The sequence below is a fragment of the Homo sapiens genome, chromosome 6 (genome assembly GCF_000001405.40).
Source record: "Homo sapiens chromosome 6, GRCh38.p14 Primary Assembly".
In the NCBI taxonomy this organism is placed as follows: Eukaryota; Metazoa; Chordata; class Mammalia; order Primates; family Hominidae; genus Homo; species Homo sapiens.
In genome coordinates this window covers 20,201,046-20,223,310 of record NC_000006.12, presented here as the reverse complement: position 1 = coordinate 20,223,310, position 22,265 = coordinate 20,201,046, and the positions used below count along the sequence as shown (strand labels likewise).

The 22,265-nt window shown below is 43.5% G+C and overlaps 1 protein-coding gene across 5 annotated transcripts in view, besides 3 other annotated features; it reads left to right on the top strand.

Moving 5' to 3' along the window:
* Positions 9,814-10,314: an enhancer, noted in NCBI's record as "H3K4me1 hESC enhancer chr6:20213228-20213728 (GRCh37/hg19 assembly coordinates)". NCBI's record gives its function as "activates a minimal SCP1, AML or CMV promoter by ChIP-STARR-seq in naive H9 embryonic stem cells {active_cell/tissue: H9 hESC(naive)}" and the evidence as "EXISTENCE:reporter gene assay evidence [ECO:0000049][PMID:30033119]".
* Positions 10,497-11,036: a silencer, noted in NCBI's record as "silent region_16977". NCBI's record gives its function as "represses an Ori minimal core promoter by ATAC-STARR-seq in GM12878 lymphoblastoid cells {active_cell/tissue: GM12878}" and the evidence as "EXISTENCE:reporter gene assay evidence [ECO:0000049][PMID:35858748]".
* The window catches only part of MBOAT1 (membrane bound glycerophospholipid O-acyltransferase 1), a 112,786-nt gene continuing 101,362 nt past the window's right edge, over positions 10,842-22,265 (top strand). For 4 of the 5 annotated variants that reach the window (NR_073465.2, NM_001080480.3, XM_011514313.4 and 1 more), the window contains exon 1: positions 10,842-11,175. Coding sequence is in view for 4 of the 5 variants with exons in the window: in NM_001080480.3 (NP_001073949.1) it covers positions 11,077-11,175 (99 nt within the window). In the remaining variant the exon portion in view is untranslated. Of the gene's footprint in view, positions 11,176-16,307; positions 16,374-22,265 lie in introns of those variants that run through there. The other variant, XM_006714999.3, reaches the window with a different exon arrangement.
* Positions 16,561-17,312: an enhancer, noted in NCBI's record as "H3K27ac-H3K4me1 hESC enhancer chr6:20206230-20206981 (GRCh37/hg19 assembly coordinates)". NCBI's record gives its function as "activates a minimal SCP1, AML or CMV promoter by ChIP-STARR-seq in primed H9 embryonic stem cells {active_cell/tissue: H9 hESC(primed)}" and the evidence as "EXISTENCE:reporter gene assay evidence [ECO:0000049][PMID:30033119]".

Below are 22,265 nucleotides of genomic sequence, written 5' to 3'. Positions count from 1 at the left end.
TGGGCTGGGGAAGGAAGAGGTGAAAGTTTTCATGGTCATCCCCCATGCCTTTGTCCTTATCACCATCATATGTCTGAATTGAGAACATCTTAACAGGGCCCCAAATACTCAATTCTAAAAACCATGCTTGACCCTTTACAGGAGTATGTATAAAATGGGAGACACAGAATGTCCTGTAGGTTTATGGGGCCTTACTTAATCCCTCAGGAGACAGGGATCATCTGGAGCTGAGCTGGTTCTCACCCAGGGCCCCTGTTCTATTGTGAGATTTACAATGAATGCCTTGGTCAAGTGCAAGGAGAGCTATTGTGAACTCAGGAGTCGTCAGGCAAATCGGTTGCAGGAAAAAGTATATATGGAATTGAGGTATCTAATAATTCCTAGTAGATTCCTAACACCAACCATTTTAATGGTTGATGCCTATGTGCCCTCAGAAAGTCCTTGAGTACGTGGGGCAGTAGGGGCGGGTGGGGTGGGGTGCTTGCTTGGCTTGAAGAACACTGTGGATGGAATTTCTGATGTTTTACTTCTTAAAATGGGTGTCTGTTTTATTAGACTTTTTTTTTTTTTTTTTTTTAAGACAGGGTCTTGGTCTGTTGCCCAGGCTGGAGTGCAATGGCATGATCTTGGCTCACTGCAGCCTCAAACTCCTGGGCTCTTGGGCTCAAGCATCCCTCCAGCCTCAGCTTTGCAAGTAGCTGGGACGACAGGTGTGTGCCACCACACCAGGCTAATAGACTATTAGGCTATTTTAAATTATTTTATATATATATAATTTTATATATAATTATATATGTGTATATATATTATATGTATTTATATATATATAAAATTGGTTGGGCACAGTGGCTCATGCCTTGTAATTACAGAACTTTGGGAGGCAAGGCGGGTGGATCACCTGAGGTCAGGAGTTTGAGACCAGCCTGACCAATATGGTGAAACCCCGTCTCTACTAAAAATACAAAAACTAGCTGGGCATGGTGGCAGGCACCTGTAATCCCAGCTACTCAGGAGGCTGAGACAGGAGAATTGCTTGACCCAGGAGGTGGAGGTTTCAGTGAGCCCAGATCACGCCACTACACTCCACCCTGGGCAACAGAGTGAGACTCCATCTAAAAAAACAAACAAACAAAAATTATATATATTATGATATTAATAGACTATTTTTGTTTAAATTATATATATTATACATATGATATATCTCTCACTAAAGTTTTAAAAAATCTACTACATCTATTAAACTAATAGTCTATTTTTGTTTAAATTATATATATGATTACACATACATATGACATATCTCTCACTAAATAAGGTTTAAAAAAATCGACAAAGTTCATGGGGCAGTGTTATTTGAACGCTGTAGCCCAGGAAGTTTCGGTTTATAGGCATTGTAGGGGAGGAAGGATTTCTTTTCCTCACTCATTACTAGGTTCATGGCTGAGGCATTTATAACAAAAGGCAGATCAACAGGAGAAAAGCATCTGCATTTATTTAATGTAAGTTACACATGACACAGGAGCCTTAAGAAATAAAGACCCAAAGACACAGGGAAACCTGTGTGTTTTTATGCTTAGGCTTGATGAAGTGGATACTCCTGTGGAAGTGTGATTGGTCAAAGGGCGTCTGATCTAATGGAAATAAACTGGGGGAGCTTAGCAAGGCACGTGCGTTCAGATTCCTCTCTGTGTCCCTGTGTCTTCTCCCAGCTTCAGGGAGGGCACCTCTTGAATGAAGGTTTTATGACCTGCTTCAGCAAAGAAAGGTGAAGGGAAAGTGAGAGTGACCTTCTGCCTCTGTCATTTTCTCAAATGCCAAGATGCTTTGTTGGATATGATCTGAGCTCTATCAGTGTGAGAATTGGAGGAAAATGTAAAATGTTCACAACTAGTAGGAGAATTTCTTTCAGAATGGTCTTGTTTATGGAGGGAAACAATAAGCTCCTTTAGGGGCTGGATTTTAAGCAGCTTGGTAGGCAAAGAGATAGGTTAGTAGTTTTAAATTAAACATGAAAGAATTTAGGTATAGAGGAAAGCAGAGGGGAGTCGGGAGGAGAATAGGGCGGGAGGGAGTAACCAAGGAACCTAGCTGGGGCTGCACCTATAGAGAAAGGAGAAAGTGCAAAATTTGCTAGTAGAAGGGATGCCGAAGCATCTTTTAGAAATAGTGACATCCATTATGGAATGTTAAGGCTTTTGAATGTCTGCAACATGGATTCCCTGGTCCTTTTACGTCTTCAATATATGGTCACACACAGATGCTAAATGTGGATGGAGGGAAAGAGAGAAGCAGGTGAGGACCCAGAAGGACCAGGAACAGGGGTCTAGATGAGAGAAATGCCCAGGCATTGGTAAAATCTTGCAGCTGGCATAGGACTTTGCATACAATATACAATCTTTGGCTTGGGTTAATTTATCTGAATTCCACAAGACAGAGTGGCTTTGGTGGGATCTAGGATACATATGTGTCTGCACAAGCAATATGCAAAATATGCCTCTGTCAACTTCAACTTAATAAATAAATATGCTAACCAAAGATGCTAGCAAATGAATATGCTGAAAAATGTCTTGAATTATTGGTAGGTATAAAGTGAGATAATTCTCCTTTACTGTGTTTAATATTAACGGAAATAACTTTTAAAGTATAATGCTCAAAAGCATGTAAGTGATTAAGTTGGCTCCCCTCTGCCTTCTCTTGCAATAAAAGACTCTAAGCAATAAAGGTTTGAATGCTACATGCAGAGGTTGAAAAAAAAGAAAAAGCAATAAAACGAGTCCAAAGTGGGTAGGGTTAGTTCTATTTTTGGCAATAACTCCAATGTGGTAGGACATAGGCATTATGCTTTGGTCTGAATGCATGCCCCCAAAATTGTTATGTTGAAACATAATCTGCAATGCCGTAGTATTAAGAGATGGGGCTTTTGGGAGGTGATTAGGTCATAAAGGCTCCAGCCTCATGAATGAGATTAGTGCCCTTATAAAAGCGGCCAGAGGCTGGGCACGGTGGCTCACGCCTGTAATCTCAACACTTTGGGAGGCCAAGGCGGGCAGATCACCTGAGGTCAGGAGTTCAAGACCAGCCTGACCAACATGGAGAAGCCCTGTCTCTACTAAAAATACAAAATTAGCTGGGCGTGGTGGCACATGCCTGTAATCCCAGCTACTCGGGAGGCTGAGGCAGGAGAATCACTTGAACCTGGAAGGCAGAGGTTGCAGTGAGCTGAGATCTTGCCATTGTACTCCAGCCTGGGCAACAAGAGGGAAACTCCATCTCAAAAAAAAAAAAAAAAAAGTACAAAAATTAGCCGGGTGTGGTGGCAGGTGCCTGTAATCCCAGCTACTCAGGAGGCTGAGGCAGGAGAATCACTTGAACCCAGGAGGCGAAGCGGAGGCTTCAGTGAGCTGAGCTCGTGCCACTGCACTCCAGACTGGGTGAAAGATCAAGACCCTGTTTCAAAAAAAAAATAGTAATAATAAAAATTAAAAAATAAAAAAGCCCCAAGGGAACTTGTTCACTCCTGACAAGTGGGGACACAGGTAGAAGGTGCCTTCTTTGAGGCTGAGAGCAATGCCTCACTAGATACTGAATCTACTGGCACCTTGATCTTGAACTTTCCAGCCCCCGGAACTGTGAACAATAAATTTCTGCTTATAAATTACCTAGTCTAAGATATATTTTTTTTCTCTTTTGAGATGGAGTCTCATTCTGTTGCCTAGGCTGGAGTGCGGTGGCACGATCTTGGCTTACTGCAACCTCTGCCTCCCAGGCTCAAGTGATTCTCCTGCCTCAGCCTCCAAATTAGCTGGGATTATAGGCACCTACCACCATGCCCAGCTAATTTTGTATTTTTAGTAGAGACGGGGTTTCACCATGTTGGCCAGGCTGGTCTCGAACTCCTGACCTCAAGTGATCCACCTGGCTCGGCCTCCCAAAGTGCTGGGATTACAGGCGTGAGCCACCTCACCGGCCTAGTCTAAGGTATTTTGTTACAGCAGCCCAAACGAACCAAGACACATTATCATCCAAGATTTGTAGCCAGAAGCTCATCACTTCTCATCTTCTTCCCTGTTACCATCCCCACTCCTCCCACTCCAGTTTCTTGTCTGGAGTCCTGAAATAGCCTCTTAATTGGTTCCCTTGCTTCACTCTTTGTGTTCCTCACTGTCTGTTCTCAACATGTGGCCAGAGTGATTTAAAATATATATATATAAACCAGATATAATATATAATCCTCAGCTCATATCCCAGCAATAACTCCCATAGCAATCAGAGGAACAGCTCAAGCCATTTGCAATGGCCCCAATCTCCCGTGGGCTGCCTCCCCATACCTCTTGGGTTCATTTCCTTTCTCTCTCTCCTCAGTCACTCTGCTCCAGCCTTACTGGCCAGACAAATGTTTTTCCATTTTGCCAGGCCTGCTCCTGTTTTAGGGCCTTTGCTCTAGATGGTTCCTCTTTCTGGAATGTGCTTTACCTAGAAATCTATTTGGTTAACTCCTTCACCTCCTTCCAGTCTTTGATTAAATGTGGCCTTCTCAATGAGGCCAATCTTGACCACCCTATTAAATAATGCAACATATGGGCTGCAGTATTTACTCTGCTGTGCTTTTCTGTTTTTCTATGCACTTATTATCATCTAACATCATAATATTATTTTAAATGTTTTTCATTGATGTCTTTCCCTGGCAGAGTGTAGGCTCTGTGATGGGAATGATTTTGTTTGTTAATTGATGTGTATCCCAAACACCTAGAACAGTGTTTATAAATAATAGTTCTTTAATAAATATTTGCTGAACGTTGAGTCCATTTTCATAAGCAAAAGCACTGTTTCCCGAACAGTAATCTGGGGAAGGTTTCTTCTAAAGGATGTACACAAAACAAATCCTGTGGTCAGCTAAGTTTGATGGCCCCTTCTTTGAAACTGACATGAGTGCTTATTAGTAGATTTTTTTGTGATCTCTGTGAACATCAAAACTTACTTTACAGGATACTCAAGGAGATCAATCAATAATGATGGAAAAGTGTTTAAAAATGAAATGAAAGTTGCAGCAATGATACATTAGGAGTATAAGAAGAGAGCCTAATGAATAGGGGCAAATACCTATTTTAGTGCTATAAATAACATTTCACTGTACACTCAGCATTTAGGGCTGGCCAGTCTAATGTGCTGACGGAAGCCCACACAGACTCAGAACAACAAGCTGGGTCATGAGGACTTAAGTGAGAAGAGAAGAGACAGTCATGAGTTCAGCTGGCTGCATTGATTGCCAGGAAACTATCCACCCATTCATTCCAAAACATTGTTGTGCTTGGTACTATCATTGGCCCTGGGAAGTGGGCCGCAGAACAGAGTGAAAAGTAAGGGAAAAATACAAGAGTTGAGGGAGATTCCAATTGGTCTCCAAGGCAAATATAAAGTCTTGGGTCGAGGGGTTAACACTATGCAGCTCCCTGAAGCCTAAGGTGACAGTGGCCTCAGCAACAACACCCAAGGTGGAGTTAGGGTAGAGGACAGGGAGGGTGGGGCCAAGCACCTCCCAATACCCAGCGGCTCCAGGGCATTAGGCAAAGCCCCAGCTTGCTCTTTTTTCTTACTGCAGCCAACCATGGAATCTGGGTAGCACAGGTTTTTGTCTGTCTTTATGTACTCAAACATTATCTTCAATCACACTTTGCTATTCATAGGACACTTTGGCAATAGTAACTATTTGGAACACAGTCAAAGAAGTAGGAGGTATGGAAAGTGCCTCTGAAACAATGGCGTGGAGGATAGAATGGCTTGGAGTTTATCTGCTTAAAATAAAAATACTTTACTTTTTTAGGAGCTCCTTAGGCACTCTGCCAAAGCCGAGTGACTCTACGGCAATTCGTAGAGCTCCCCAGTTCACAGGGGAACCAAAGTAGCAGGCAAGGCAGGGACAAGTGAAATACAAGAGCAGAAGGGGAAATGGAAAAACTAGAAAGTAGACACAGTAGTTGAGAAAGTGTACCTCTCTGGGCATAGTTTAGAGCAAGGACAAACTCTTTTTTTTTTTTTTTCTTTTTTTGAGACAGTTTCACTTTTGTCCAGGCTGGAGTGCAATGGCACGATCTCGGCTCACCACAACCTCCGCCTCCCGGGTTCAAGTGATTCTCTGGCCTCAGCCTCCCTAGTAGCTGGGATTACAGGCATGTGCCACCATGCCTGGCTAATTTTTGTATTTTTAGTAGAGACACGGTTTCCCCATGTTGGCCAGGCTGGTCTCGAACTCCTGACCTCAGGTGATCTGCCCACCTCAGCCTCCCAAAGTGCCAGGATTACAGGCGTGAGCTACCACGCCCGGCTGCAAGGACAAACTCTTGATGTGTCAGTGGACTTCAAGACATTGCTGTATTGCAGGATGGGTTCTTGTTCACAATAATGCCTGAGTCATCAGTAATGATTAAGCTAAGATCACTAACTCTGTTTTAGTATTCAGGGTCACGTGCAATGCATTTTAGAAAGATCTCCCTTGCCTAAAACTAAGGCAAAAATGAAACATTAGTGCAGAAAGGGTAAGCTTCAGTTCTTTTATGTTTTTTGAACAAAATCTCTCCTCCAGTTCTTAGACCTGCTGCAAGGGATCATTATTCTTATTCCTATTTTACAGAGGAGGAAGCTGGGCCTTCATGAAGTTCATTGATTTGCTCAAAGTCCCCAAACTAGTAAAAGGCAGTACTGGTTTTTCATACCCGGTTGTTTTGCTCTAAAGGCTGAGTTCTTGGCCTCCTGGCCTCAGGACATCTTCCTACTTTGGCCTCCCAAAGTGTCAGAATTGCAGGCATGAGCCACTGCACCTGTTAATTCCTGGTCTAATACAGTATTCTTAAGCAAAAAATGCTATAACATAGCAGTCATAGCTAAATCTGGCAGATGTTCAGTTATATTAGTTTCTTCATTTTCTGAACATGTACAATGTTTAACTGTGATCCCAAGCTTGGAAAATATGTTGGGTAGGCAGGTTGCAATATATGTTCCAAGCAAACACACATCAGTTGAGCTAAAACATGAAGGAATACATCATTGATTGAAAAACATAAATTACCTGAAGCTTTGTGGATGATGCTTAAAGAAACTGCTCAGAAAACAATGGTGATACCTATCATGGGTCAATTTTGACCATTCTTCAGATCAGCTCTCAAATGTTAAGCCTGGAATTTAATGTCCTATGCAGGCAACAATTTCTGCTATTTTCCTGAAGGAAAATAGTATTATACTCCTAGTATAATAAAAAGTATAATAAAAAGATTTCTGTATAGTTAAAAAGAACAGTAGAATACCCAAGTTTGAACCCTACACTTGCTGTTTACTAGATGGATAAGCTAGCTGCAATTTATTAGAAACAGTATTCATTTGAATAAAAATTGAGATGACATGATAATACAAATGATAATAACACCTGCCCTTCCAACTTCATAGAGTTGTTGGGAGGATCAAAGGGGATAAGTGAGTGTGCTCTGTGAATATATAGTATCATTACATTAATATGTAGTATTATTAAAATGGTAATTCTTTTTTTACATGGGTTATATCATTTCAGATGGCTTAAATTTAGTTTTATTGGTGATTGTTTTTGGTTGAATATAGACTGAAGGTATCATTAGAGTTTTATCTCCTTGAGGGATTATACCTTTGTAAACTTTGAGGATGTATTTAATTCAGTTTTGTTCTTTGATTATCAGTTATGTTGTTTGATTTGATTTGGTATGTGAAGTAGGAAGAATGGAAAGTGCCTCTGAATATCCATGATAGAATGGCATGGAGTTTATCTACTTAAAATCAGAATACTTCACTTCTTTAGGAACTCCTTAGGCACTCTGCCAAAGCCTAGTGACTCTACAGCAGTTTGTAGAGTTTTTATTAGTCCATGGTAACATGCAGCCCTTCCCAATATGCTAGAATCTTTTTCAGGTTTTTTTGTGCCTGGCTTTAATTTTTTGACCTGTCTTCAGGATGTGCAGTGGATCTCCTGGATAATGTCACATTCTGAGCATGGTTCCATAGGGAAGATTCATAAAACTGACCTTGATATCAAGCCTCACTCTACTGCAAATAGAAAACAGGAGAGACAGCGTGTCTGTGGCATCACCCCTACCACCTCATTTTGAATGGTAAATGTAATGTCTCGTCTACAAAAATGACAAGGTTGTATCAGGTGTGTGGGCTGGCCTCTTGATAAAGAGAAAAATACTATGTTTTAGAGGAGGCAATGCATAATGAATAAAGAGCCCAGGCTCTGGAATCAGACAGACACATTTTACTTAACCTCCCTAAATACAACCAAGTCACTTAAGCTCCCTTAACCCCAGGTTTCACATCTATAAAATAGATTCTTATAACTACCACAGGATTATTAGCACTGGTAAATGAAACAGCTTTTGTAAAGTGATTTCTAACATATGATAATAATTATTGTGAACCTACAGTTGACAGAGGATGGAAATAGAGATACTGATGAAGGAAAAGAGCAATGTGTCCATGGTGCCGCTGTTATACATCTTGGACTCATATAAACAACTTCTTCAAAGTGTGTTTCATTCATCTGTAGTGTAACAGAGCTACTCTCTTGGTTCTGAGTTATCCAACAGTAGTATTTTTTTTTGCATTAATTGTACTACAGTATCAAGAGAAAAGAACTATTAAGTTCTGTGACATTTTGTTTATAAGCTCTAACCATAGTTACTACATTTTTATTTTTATTTTTTTTTTTGATGGAGTCTTGCTCTGTTAGCCAGACTGGAGTCCAGTGGCGTGATCTCTGCTCACTGAAACCTCCGTCCCCTGGGTTCAGGCGATTCTCCTGCCTCAGCTTCCCAAGTAGCTGGGATTACAGGTGCCTGCCACCACACCTGGCTAATTTTTGTTTTTTGGTAGAGATGGGGTTTCACCATGTTGGCCAGGCTGGTCTCGAACTCCTGACCTCAGGTGATCTGCCCGCCTCGGCCTCCCAAAATGCTGGGATTACAGGCATAAGCCACCGCACCCGGCCATTTTTAAAAGAAAAATTTAGACTAGGTTATGAACTGTGTTTTGTTAGGGAGAAAAAAACCTGTGTAAGGCTAATACATGTATATATTTTACATATACATATATACATATGTATATATCAAACCTGTGTTATATATATATATAAAAACTGTGTAATATATGTATATATAAACCTGTGTAAGGCTAATATATGTACATATAAAACTTTACATATATAAATATATTTATATATGATTATATAAATTAATATATTTATAATAAATATATATACACACGCACACACACACACATATATATATATGGCCTATGTGAGGACTATTCTTTGAAGTCTAAAAGGCATAGCTTTGTGAAAATTATAAAGGGTCTGAGGCACTTGCTCCAGAAATACTTCCCAAACTGACCTACTTCTGTTTTCCAGCAACTCATATCTGAGTGTTGATTTTTTTTTCCTTTTAAACAAAGCTCCGTCTGCTCTCATATACCTCACTTCAGCTGTCATCTAGCTCCAGATAAGATGAATGTTGCTCCAATGCTGGTCATTTTCCAGGACTCTATGATATTAAATGAACCTATCTAGCCTAGTGATCCTCAAGTATATGCCTGTGTGCGTGTGTGCATGTGTCTGTCTGTCTGTAGTGTGGGTTTGCTTGTGAGTGGTAGAGATTATCATCTGGTGGTGACATCTCCATTCGGTTAGCTTGTGGGAGTGGTGGTACAGACTTTTTTTTTTCCTCCTCCACAGGGGACATAGGTTGAGAAACTCTGGCCTGGCAATTTAATGCTCAGTGCAGTTTGATGGTGATAAAACTCCTGAAGAAGGCAAGAGTGAGGCCTGAGTCTTGGAGAGTAAGTTGTTGCCAGTGCCTGACAGGCCTTCGGTTTAATTTGAAGCTGGAGGCCACATTGATAAAGTCGGCCCCGAAAGTCATTGCCTGTCTGATCGAATGCCGGTTTACCCAGCGGAGGCTGGGGGCCACGTGAGCTCACTTTCTTTGGTTTTCTACCCAGCAGCCCAGAATATTACCTTCCTGAAACCCTTTTTCATCAGCTAGCGATTCCTGAAAAGGATCTTCAAGATTTTTATGTTTCTCAGAACCTAGCAATAACTTGGAAAAGTTTTCCAAGTAACATTGATGTGTGGGTGTTCGGGGGCAGACAAGTTAAGGAGCAAGGCACCCTTTTTGAGGACCCGTGGCATGCAAATGACTTATCAGAATGCACATAGTATGACAGTAAACACCGTTTCTTACAGAGGTGAAATAACTCTCACTCCACAGAGACGGAAGTGACCCGAAGCTAGCAGTCCCCTGTATTTGCTTGTGTGACACCGAACATGTCAGATCAGGGTGTAGGAAACTATGCCTAGCGCAGAGGAGGGTAAAGGAAGTAGGGAGTCTGGTGGCTGCGGCGCTCCAGCTTCCAGCCACCGGCAGAGGAACCCTCTACGGCTTGAAAGGGAAACGCAGCCACTCAGCCGCTTCGACTGCGGCGGCGAAACCAAAACAGGGTGGGGCGGGGTGGGTGGTGCTCTCTAGTGGAAGGCGCCCGCTGGGTGAGGTCGTTTTGTCTGGCGGGGGGCTAGGACGGTCAGCCCGGGAGGAGGAAAGGCGCGTCCCGCCTCCAGCTGCAGGGCCAGGCGGCGGCGCCCGCTGGCGTCGCTTTCCCTCTCCCGGTCGGCCTCGGTGCAGGCCAGGCTGGGCGGGCCGGGCGGCGCTTGGGGGCCGGGCTCGGAGTCCCCACTTTTCCTCCCTCCTTCCCTCCTCTCGGGGCCGTCCCGAGCGGCCGGGCCAATGGGCGCGGAGAGGAAGGGAGCGGGAAGCGGGGCGCCTTGGGCCCGGCCCTCCTACGGCGCCCGTGGCTGCAGCGCCAGCGCCAAAGCCAAGTTTGCGCCTCGAGAGTTTGCGCCTCGAGAGTTTGCGCCGGTTCGCATTCCCCGGCCTCCCGTTCGCTCCCCCGCGAACCAGGCGGCCGTGCGCCTCTCGGGGCAACCACCCAAGAGCACCCGGGCGGGAGGACGCCGAGCAGGGGGTGTTGCGGGCTGGGACAGGGGCAGCCACCTCCCGAAGATGCAGGATGGCAGCAGAGCCGCAGCCGTCCAGCCTTTCCTACCGCACCACGGGCTCCACCTACCTGCACCCGCTCAGCGAGCTCCTGGGCATCCCGCTGGACCAGGTAACTGCAGGCCGGGAGCGCAGCGACCCCAGCTCCCCAGCGATCGCGTGCACGGGGCGGGCGAAAGTGTTAGCCACCGTCCCTCCGCCTCCATGGCGTATTTTACAGCCACACACTAGACAGTTGGTTTTTGTGTGTGTGTGTGTGTGTGTGTGTGTGTGTGTGTTTTCCCTTCTTGAGTTGGTGTTAGTGTTTTTCTCCTTGTAAGTGTGAAAAAATATTGGTACAGCCTGCGCGGCAAGTTCTACTGAACTTTTTTTTCTTTAAGTTTGGGATTGCCTCGTTTCCTGTAATCAAGTTCTGAAGTAGTCTGATACATGAAACCAGTGTTTCTTTCATCAGTGTCCTCAAGTCGTTATTGTTTTTAATTTAGATGACCCTACTTAAAAAACAAGCGCGATGAATCTGTAGACGGTAGTCTATAGATTTTGAATGCAGGACCTGGGTTTTAGACTTCTGAGGCGAGGCTTGTTCAGGGGTGACAGTTATTTTGTACCGTGTGTGATGCGGGACACACAAGGACACTTTGGTTTTCCCAGGGTTCGGTTGGCTCATATGCCTGGGGCTGGAGCTTCTGAGTAGGACAGGTTAGGGGGAGGAGAGGGGCCCCAGTGAAGTTATTTGAACTGTCCAGGAATTATCTACAACCATTAAAATTAAAAATGGCAACAACAGTGATTCCTGGCAAGAAACCTTCCTGAAGATGAAGCCCGTCTTACTCATTTCCTTGTCTCTTCAGGTGCTGCAGGCTAGATCTGCGGGATACTTAGTAGTGACCCAATCAGTAAATGTTGATTTAAATAGAATTGGGCAGGGCATGCTGGGGGAGGACCCACTGCGCTCCTGTTTTGTTTCATGCTTTTTTGCCTGGTTTTCTTCCCCTTCCTCTCACCAGTGCTCCTTTTCCTTTCCTTTTAACAAGAGCACACCTGCTGCCCTTTGCGCACACCCCTTCAGCAATGAGAAAGTGAGACCTGGACATTTGCCTTATTCGGGTCCTGTTTACTGAGCCACCCTCATACCTGGCTCACTCTGAGGACCTGACTGAGAACTCCACCTGATGTGACCATTGCGTTCTCATCAGTTGCAGAATACAGAAAGTCAGAAACTTGGGAAGGGTTTCGGTGCCAAAGCATTTGTGCTTTTGTAAATTACTCTTTAGTTTCTGGTGAGGATGAGATAGACCCAGGGACCCAGGCAGAGGCGGACATAATAGCAAATTCTTTAGTTCTGAAATTAAATAAAACTCATAGCTGAATTTCCTTAAGGGGAGTTTGTTTTGTACTTACCTCTCCACTCCCTATCAGAAGGTATTTTAATTGCATTTTCTCTTCTAAGCTCTTCTACACAGCTAGAAAGACTCCAGGAAGGCTTTTTGTATGGCTAAAGGACCATGGCAAGTTATGGCTGGGAGGTGCTAGAATAATGTTTTTAATGTCTTTCAATTGCATCCCCTACTTTCCTATAAAGGTAATTCTGGTTTTAATTCATAAAAAGGAACAAAAGAGCCTTAGGAATGTTTAAAACTGGGAGGGAGGGAGGGAGGGAGGGAGGGAGAGACTTCTGGGATAAACCGAAGGAGAAATGTTTGCCATGGCCAGGAGCACCTGAGATCTCTTAGCTCTTAGGTCAGTCTGACCACCCTCCAGCAGGAGTGAGTGTGGATGACCCTTGGTGGAAGAAGCACTTAAAAGGCAGTGCCCCAGGTAGCTTATTTTAGGCCCAAGGAAAATCCCCAAACCATAAATAAGGTCGTTTGAGGCTACGTTGTGGCTTGCGAGTTTGGAAGCTTTGTGTGTTTTTTCCCTTTCACATTTTTAAGGCTTTTTAAAGGCTTAGATGTCAGACTGACCTGGGTGCAATTCCAGTTCTGCCAGCAAACTTCCCTTTGTGACTGCCAGCTGGTACTCTACCCTCTTGGAGACTCAGCATCCTCATGTAAAATGGGAGATGACAATAAGACCTACCTTTTGAGGTTGAGAAATTTTATATGATGTGAAATGCCCGACATTAGGAAGGTTCTTGTATCAGGGTCCTTGCAGGAAACGGGAACCAACCCCATTGGCTGAAATGAACAGACTTTAATGAATTACTTAGAGGGGTATGGGCAAGTTTAAGGGAATCAACAAAGGATGTTGAGATGCTGAGATCAGAAGTAGGGGGCAGCTGGAGGGGAAAGTGGAGTTACTTCATTGCCATTTGTGAGAGCTGGACCTGCCTGGAGGTCATGAAGAATCAGAGAGAGAACCTCAGCCCTTCTTCCTACCTTGTAGCCCTTCCATCTCTTCACAGTGGCCCCCAAGGCCTCAGCCTGCAGGGGCTCCTCCTGTGGCACAGGATAGGGAGGATAAAGGTGGAGGCAGATCTAGGGAGTAACCTGAGGATAAGAGTGCAGGCCTTGATACGTGTTTGCTCCTGTCCCATTAGAGAGTGACTTTTGATTGGCCTGGGATATGCTCAAAATTATAAAATATATATCTCAAGTTACTCAAATAGTTTTTTGTATGCCTCTTAAGGACACTGAATCATTTCCTAATGTCTTAACATCCTAATTCCTGATTAATTGCACTCCTGTGAATGTCTTTAGCCTCTGGATCCTGTGTCAAGTAGTTTATTATCAGCAAAAATGGAAATACCTGGTAAGCATTCTGCTTCGTATGTGAAGAACTCTTTATTCATTCTTTTTCATCTGATTCTTCCATTTATCTGTTCTGTTAACTTCGTGGCATCCTTAAATAGGAAAGCCTGTGTGTGGTTAGGACTATACTCAGGAAAAGTCTATGGTTTTTGTTTTAGGGATTTTGATTAGTCTGACATCCTCCTAAAGATGTGAAATATAAAATTATCTCCCTTAATTAGAGACAAATAGCGCATAATAATTCAGATGCAGAATACAGGAAATGGGATGATGACTTAGGGGCCTCTATAGATGCTTCAAAGATAAGGTTGTTGAAAACTTTATTTCTAAATAATGGGCCCTTGTCCAGTGAGCAAATATGGAGTTATGGTAGGTGGTAGGATTATGCCAATAAAAACCTTCACTTAGGATAAAGTGGGCAAGCACTTTTCTTTCCTGTTTTGGGGGAATCAAGGAATCATCTGCTCCTGTCCTCCTCACTTTGTTTTGGTTGTGGAGTGTAACTTAATGTGCCTTTAAACTAAAGGTTTGCAAGACTGACTCAGTTGCCAAAACAGATATGATAATGTTGATGTTAGTAATTTGTGTAGTGCACAGTTACGTCATTATGTCCTAGGAGCTGTGAAAGCTGAAATGGAAAGTGTTTCCAGGCTTTAAGGAACTTCCAATTTGGTGGTTGGAAATTCTGCCCACCAGCAAAGCATTTTTGGGGTATTTCACCTGATGGTGCCCCCAAACTGTGTGTGTGTGCATGAAGTATGAATTCAGTGTTACACTAGGACTCTCTGAGGTATTTTTTTTTCCCCCTAATTTGGCATCAGCAGAAAAAGGGGCAAGGGGAAAATAGACCAGGAGATAAGAATCCAGGAAATAATTTTGAGATTAAAACAGCGAAGGTTTAGGATTATTAATGTAAGCTTGTGTCACCATTTACAAGTCTGGATAAATGAAGACCAGCTTTAAAGACGTGGCATTCCAGACTAATGGTGATACCAGGAGTGAGTTTGATTATTTCACCTGGGCCCATGACTACAAAGTTTCTTTTTTTTTTTGAGACAGAGTCTAGCTCTGTCACCCAGGCTGGAGTGCAGTGGCACGATCTCGGCTCAGTGCAACCTCCGCCTCCCAGGTTCACGTGATTCTCCTGCCTCAGTCTCCAGAGTAGCTGTGATTACTGGAGCGCGCCACCATACCCGGCTAATTTTTGTATTTTTAGTAGAGGCGGGGTTTCACCATCTTGGTCAGGCTGGTCTCGAACTCCTGACCTTGTGATCCGCCTGCCTCGGCCTCCCAAAGTGCTGGGATTACAGGCATGAGCCACCACGCCCGGCCGACTACAAAGTTTCTTTACCTACCTGGATCTGTCAGTCCTGGTTGCTTCCCTTGGCCATGCTTGCAAAGCCCAACCTTCAGTTCTCTTCTTATCTAAGTCTTGTCCTTCATTAAAAGCTCAGCTCACATTCCAGTCATTGTTAAATCAATTAAATATTTATTTAATGCTATTAGTGCCAGGTACCTGGCCATATGGTAGAAATACAAAGATGAAAAAAATCAAGGTCCCCATCCTGCAAGGGCTTATATACTCTAGAGGAAACAAAAGGCCCATGTAAGTATATAGGCTGTGTATGCTCACAGACCTGCGTAGGCACTGCACAGGTTTGTAGATGGTGCCGTCGTGGAACAGAGAAGGGATGCCCACAGGACATGCTGGACTCATGTAGAATTTACTGTTTACATTTGATGCTTGGTAAATGTTACCTTATATTGTTAGTTATCTTGCTGGGTTTGTAAGCTTAATTCCAAACTAATTTGAAGTCTCTTTGTAGTCAAGGCTTGAGTTCCCATACAACTTTATTTATGGATCCTGACATCTAAATTTCATGGAATTTTCACCTGTCTTGAAATGTTCTTCCTTAGATTTTTTTTAACCCTTTAAAATGTAAAATGCATTTGTAGCATGTAGGCCACACAGAAACAGGCAGTGGGCTGGATTTGGCATGATAATCGTATCTCCTGAAATATGGTGCATGGATTGTCATCAGAATCTTCTGCCATGGGTGTTTCTGGGATCCTGCCCCGTCCTGCTGAATTTGAATATCAGGGTGTGAGGGTACTTCCCGAGTGATTCTTATGCCAACTAAAGTTTGAGAGCCATTACTATAGTCAAGGGAGGACATCGCAGGGTTTAAGTTGTGAAAAGATTTTCATTTTGTGAAGGCATACGGAAGGTCCTCACTGAAGGAAGTAGGGATGGAGGAGGAAGCAAGGGTTTTGCGGATGAGTGCAGGGTTAGAGAAGTATTTAAGGGAAATTGAGAAAGCACTGACAAGGTCAATTGAATGAGCTGCTGAGTATAATCAACCTACTGTCAAGTATACATTTTTAGACGGATGAATATGCACAAATATGTGCTTTTTTTCTTTCAGCAGCTCCTTTCAGAAACAAAAGTGAAACAGAAATTTTCAGAGAAGGTTGTTGGGAAGTTAAGAAGCTCAGATATTGAAAGATGCTGACAAGTAGTTGGTGGTGGTAAGAGTGAAGAGGAAAACTTCTTGCGATGGTGGGTCGTGGAGGGCAGGTGCAGAGGAAGTGAGAGAGCTGGAGGGCTGGGATATGTGAGTGAAGGATTTCTAGTGAAGTCTTTCTGGGTGATGATGAAAATCGGGGTGTGCGCCTGAGGGTGGGGGTGAAAGTCTGTTGAGTGTAGCAAGCAGGGGAACTGGGGTATTTGTATTTGATGGATTGTCCTTCTTGACATTGACGGTACCCAGGTGAATTTGGGGAGTTGCGGTGGAGAAGACTATGAGGTCCCTAAGGTGTCCAGGAATATGGAGGAGTCACCAGAGGTGGGCAGATTCTGAAAGCAGGAAGAGGGAGCAGAGGGGGTGTGACCCGGCCTGCTGTCTGTCATGCACTCAGCCCATGCCTCTGCATGCATCCTCTCATGTAATATTAGGAGTGTGGGGGAGTCTGGAGGGAGGAAAGCTTTCCTATGAGGATAGTGGAAGGAAAATAGTACAAAGTGGCTGGGCTTGGTGGCTCACGCCTGTAATCCCAGCACTTTGGGAGGCCGAGGCGGCCAGATCACCTGAGGTCAGGAGTTTGAGACCAGCCTGGCCAACATGGCGAAACCCCATCTTTACTAAAAATACAAAAATTAGCCAGGTGTGGTGGCACAAGCCTGCAGTCCTAGCTACTCGGGAGGCTGAGGCAAGAGAATCACTTGAACCCAGGATGGGGAAGTTGCAGTAAGCCAAGATTGTGCCACTGTACTCCAGCCTGGGTGACAGAGCGAGACTCCATCTCAAAAAAAAAGAAAAAGAAAACAGTGCAAAGCAGCAGTGGGAGGTCTGGAAAAGCTCTGACCTGCTGCTTCTGACCTTGGCTTTGCTGTCGTGATGGTAAAATGAGAACAGAGGGTGGGCTTTGTGAAGAAGGTCAGCAGTGGAGGGAGGAAGGCAGTGGGAAGATGAGTCACACAGGAGGGGGAGAAGGAAGTTAGGGGCAGCACGTGGATGCAAGTTGAGAAGTGGAGCTTGCGAGCCGCGAGTGAGGGTTGGGGAGGAGTTGGAGGGGTCTGGGCAGGTAGGGTGGCCCCCCTAGGGTCTCAGAGCCCTGATGAGGTGGTGTCCAGTGACTGACTCTGAGCTTTGCAGTCCCTCCTGGAGCTGCACGTTCATGTGGTGGAAAGTTCCTCTGTGGTTCTGAAGAGCTTGCTGTTAGCAGGTGGGTGGGGGGGCCTTTTGGAAGCAGTCTGAGGGCATTGAATGTAGATGTGTTGGGGGTACGATGGTGAGGTATAAACCCCCAGGTCCACAGAGTTGCAGAGGACAGGCCTGGTGGAGTTGGGGACTGTCCCTCAGAGCCTGTGTGAAGATGGGCGGTCTCCATGCTGGGGGATTCTGGATAAGTCCAGAAGATGGGCTGGCCTACCAGAGACTGCTGACTGGTGTCACAGTCTAGTGGCTAGATTTGACGATAATTGAAGGGAGGACAGAGAGATCACAGGTATGGCCATATATTCCCTGGCATTTGAAGCAAAGGCCTAGTGTGTCCTGGAGCTTTAGCCTTCCTGTTGTGGAACAAGAGGTGATTCTTCACAGCTTGGCCTCAGTTTACCTGTCTGGCTTAAGGACACTGACAACTCCATACATTGAATGCTTACGCTCTCAGCACTGCTCTGCATACATTCTCTCAGTTAATACAGCACTAAAAGTTATTCCCCAAATTTCTTCCTTCTTTCCCTAAATTTCTTCTTTCTTTTCTTCTTTCCTCCTTCCTTTTCTCTCTTTTCTTTCTGAGATGGGATCTCACTCTGTTGCCTAGGGTAGAGTACACTGGCTTGATCATGGCACCCTGCAGTCTCAAACTCTTGAGCTCAAGCAATCCTCCTGCCTCAGCTTCCCAAGTAGCTGGGACTAAAGGTGCATACCACCCCACCTGGCTAATTTTTTTGTATTTTTTATAGAGATGTGGTCTTGCCATGTTGCTCAGGCTGGTCTTAAACTCCTGGCCTGAAACGATCCTCTCACCTCAGCCTCCCAAAATGCGGGGATTATAGTTGTGAGCTACCACACCCAGCCTGTTCCCCAAATTTCAAGTTAGGAAGCAGCCCCCAGGGCTTATGTTACTTGCTTGTAGCTGGGAAGGGGCAGAGGCAGGACTCGAACTCAGGTCTGTCACTGGAGGCCGTGCTCCTGGTTGCTGCACTGCATTCCAGCACCATTTTCCCTGTGTGCTGTGCTTTCAGCACAGTGAACTCTTTACTTCCTATCCCTCAAACACAGTGTGTCTTTCATACCCTCCAGCCTCTGCACACACACACTTCCTTCTCCTTGGAGGTTTATTCCTCATCCTGGTCCTCAATTCCTGTTTTCAGGCTGGGCCCTAAAATCCTCTCCTCGTCTTCCCTCTGTAACCCAGCCCTCCCTCCCCACCAGGGCCAAATGGACCCCTTCTTTCTCTCTGTTTCTCCATAGCGTCCTATCCATATCACATTGCTCTGCCTTTTACTTTACTTCTTAGATATTTATTGGTCTCTCTGTCCTGCCTGACTCTGAGAGGCATCTTTCCATAGTTACTTACTGAGCGCTGTATGCTAGTGGGCTAAATGGAGATACAGAGATTAGTGAGTTATCTGTGCCTTCTGTGAGACAAACATGTAGATACTTGGTAAACTGCTGTTTGCCTGTAAGCCTTGAAATATCACGTGCCCAATGCACACACCACTGCCAGAGGACACGGGGCCTCGGCATCTCTGGGCCTCTCCTGAGACAGTGCTAGGGGAGAACTTCCTGGGAGCAGCTACTTTAGAAGCAGGAGGGAAATTAGAGGGGAGAGGGGCCAGGTGAGACAGTCAGAATATTCTAGGAGGAAGAGAAGAGAGTCTCATTCTTTATGGGTAGTGATCATTATCAAAGAAGAAAATGTTAACAAATTGAATTTAAAGATGGAATTGTCTTTTATTAGTGATTCATGAATCAGGCAGCTTCCCATCTGTAAAACAGCAAGGCTGAGCTGAGCTGAAGAGGTGGACTTTACAGGTAGAAAAGGCTGAAGAAAGCAGAAGCAAAGAATAACAAGCAAAGTTACTTTCCTTATAAGGTTAAAAAAGATGGGACTTCCTTATGCTGGCTCAGGTAGACTGGGCCCCTTTTCTGTTGGTTGCTGTGAATCTCCTATTTTTTTTTTTTTTTTAAACGGGCCCATTGTAAAGTTGTTTGTTTATATAGCTCCTGGCATCAGTGACTCCATTCTGGTTTGGTCTGGTCTGTTGGGGCCTGGTGCAGGAGCTCGGTCCAAAATAATTGCTCCTTACTAATTTTATTTACCACCACTGAAGATGAATCTTCGTCATCTTTGTATGGTTAGCACAAAGTAGGAACTAAATACATGTTTGTTGAATTGAAATGGAATTTTATTTACATTTTTGGATTGGAATGAATGACTTAATTAAGATAAAATTGGGAGCCAGTTCTTTTTACCAACTGAATTAGGCCTGTTTATTATTTGGAACCTGAATATCAGATTAAATGGGACCAATTTCTAATTTGAAAGTTAATTCATGGCTCACTTGCTGGTAGTGAAATGTTTATCTTGAGTTATTTAAAGATGACATACTCTATTCCCATTTTCATTGTGTGCAGTTGATATACTCATCACCTCCAGTTATAAATGCAGCTATTAGTATCTTTTTTTTTTTGGCCCAGTTGTTTCAGATTTCTGTGAACATGTAGAAATTTCCTTTAGCAGTCTAAAATCAAGTCATACATACGAAAGATGCCATATAGTCAAATACTCTCAAGTATTCTGTAGCTTGGCCTTGGAATTACATTTATTATTTTATTTTTATTTTTTATTGAGACAGGGTCTCACTGTGTTGCCCAGGCTGGTCTTGAACTCCTGGGCTTAAGTGATCCTCCTGCCTTGGCCTCCCAAAGTGCTGGGATTACAGGCGGAAGCCACCACACCCAGCCAGGAATTACATTTATAAAGGAAAATTTCATGAAAAGATTATATCTAAAGAGATAAAATCTGGAAATATCTTTTGTACCAGTGACTTGTATAAAGAATTCAGTTTATGTCACTTAGTAACAGTGGCTGTGTGCTTTTCAAAGGCTTTCTATTTTAAGTCAGCTCTTTTAGTAAACAAGATAAAGGGATAACTTATTGCAGTCTCATTAATGTCAATTTCTAGTAGTTTTGCCAGGCAAACACAAGGATAGAGAGTCGTCAGTGGGAAAAGTAGCTCCAAATAGTTTGTACTGGTTAAAAATGTGCTTTATTAAAAGATAACTATTTCTTTGGGCTTAAGAAATGTAACTATCTGCAAAAAGATTAATTCATTAACCTATTTGCAATGTGATTTTTAGTTATCCAAAAAAAAAAAAAGCCCTTGATAAATCATTTACCAACTTCCTTGTATTAGTGGAGCTCTGTTTTTAATTTTTTAAAGTTACCAGTGGTTAATCTTCTTTTATGGTTTAGTAAAACTGACTAATTTGAGAGATGGTTTTGAAAGTCCACAATCACCTTGAACAGTTTAAAGTTGAATGAAGGTTTCTGGGCTGATATTGCTGGGGATTTCCAGCAAACTATCATTTTATTATAAATATTCCATTCTCAGGTTTATTTACAAAACAAAACGAAAACCAGGGAACTCAGGTTCTAATGTAATTTGGAGAAGAGCAAGGGTACATTTGAAAAGTTTGTGTTCAAGTTGTCCTAAACTCTTATTTCAAACAAGGAATTAAAAATTTAAAATATTCTGTTATTCATTTGTTTATTTATTTTTTAAGTTTGTTTCATTCATCATTCTGTGGCTGACTTGAAACAGATGAGTCAGCAAAGGTACACAGCAAAAGGTTGCTAAGGCTTACAGGAAGTTGCTAAACTCAAAAGTCATTTCATGAAATTACATGAAGTGGTTTAACTGTGAGTGTCACTAGATTGAGACTTCTTTGTTCCTAAGACTCCCCCACCCCCTGCCCCAGTATTATTTTTTGCTCTCTGTTTTTATTTTATTTATCTATTACATTCTTTTAAATTTTTATTTTTTATTGATTTTTTTAAAGCTTTTATTTTATATAGATACAGTTAACAAAAATCACTTTTCCAGCCGGGCAGGGTGGCTCAGCTCTGTAATCCTAGCACTTGGAGAGGCCACGGTGGGTGGATCACTTGAGGTCAGGAGTTTGAGACCAGCTTGGCCAACATGGTGAAACCCCCATCTCTACTAAAAATACAAAAATTAGCCGGGTGTGGTGATGCATGCCTGTAGTCCCAGCTACTCGGGAGGCTGAGGCAGGAGAATTGCTTGAACCCAGGAGGCGGAGGTTGCACTGAGCTGAGATCACGCCACTGCACTCCAGCCTGGACGACAGTATGAGACTCCATCTCAAAAAAAAAAAAAAATCACTTATCTGATTAGATAGTACAGGCACTTACTATCGAAGTCATAAGCAGAAAATGGAATATAAGGAAAGGTCCATCTCTCTCACCCCTGCTTCCCTTGTTTCCAGCTGGCCAGATTTCCATGGTTTAGTTGCATGATTTCAGAGATAGTCTGTGTCTACATATGCCCAGAATCTTTTTGTCTTATTTTCTGACATAAGTGATAGCGTATGGTTCCCTCCCTCCCTCCCTTCTTTTCTTCCTTTCTTCCTTTCAACTTAACAGTGTCTCTTAGGGATTGATTCATGTCTGTATATACAGAGCTCTGGTGACTTTTGAACTTCCTTTCTGCCTTTTCTGAAGGCTTTGTTTCTGTTCTTCCAGCCATGGCTTTGTGTTATGAGAAAAATCTGGAGTTATAACTCCTCCACAAACTGGGAAGGAGCTGAGAGACCAAAGAATAACTCAGATAAGTCCAACTTGGCGAGTAGGTGAATTTATTAGGACTTACATATGGGACACTCCTGGGTGGCAGCAGGACAGCTCTAGAGATCCTCAT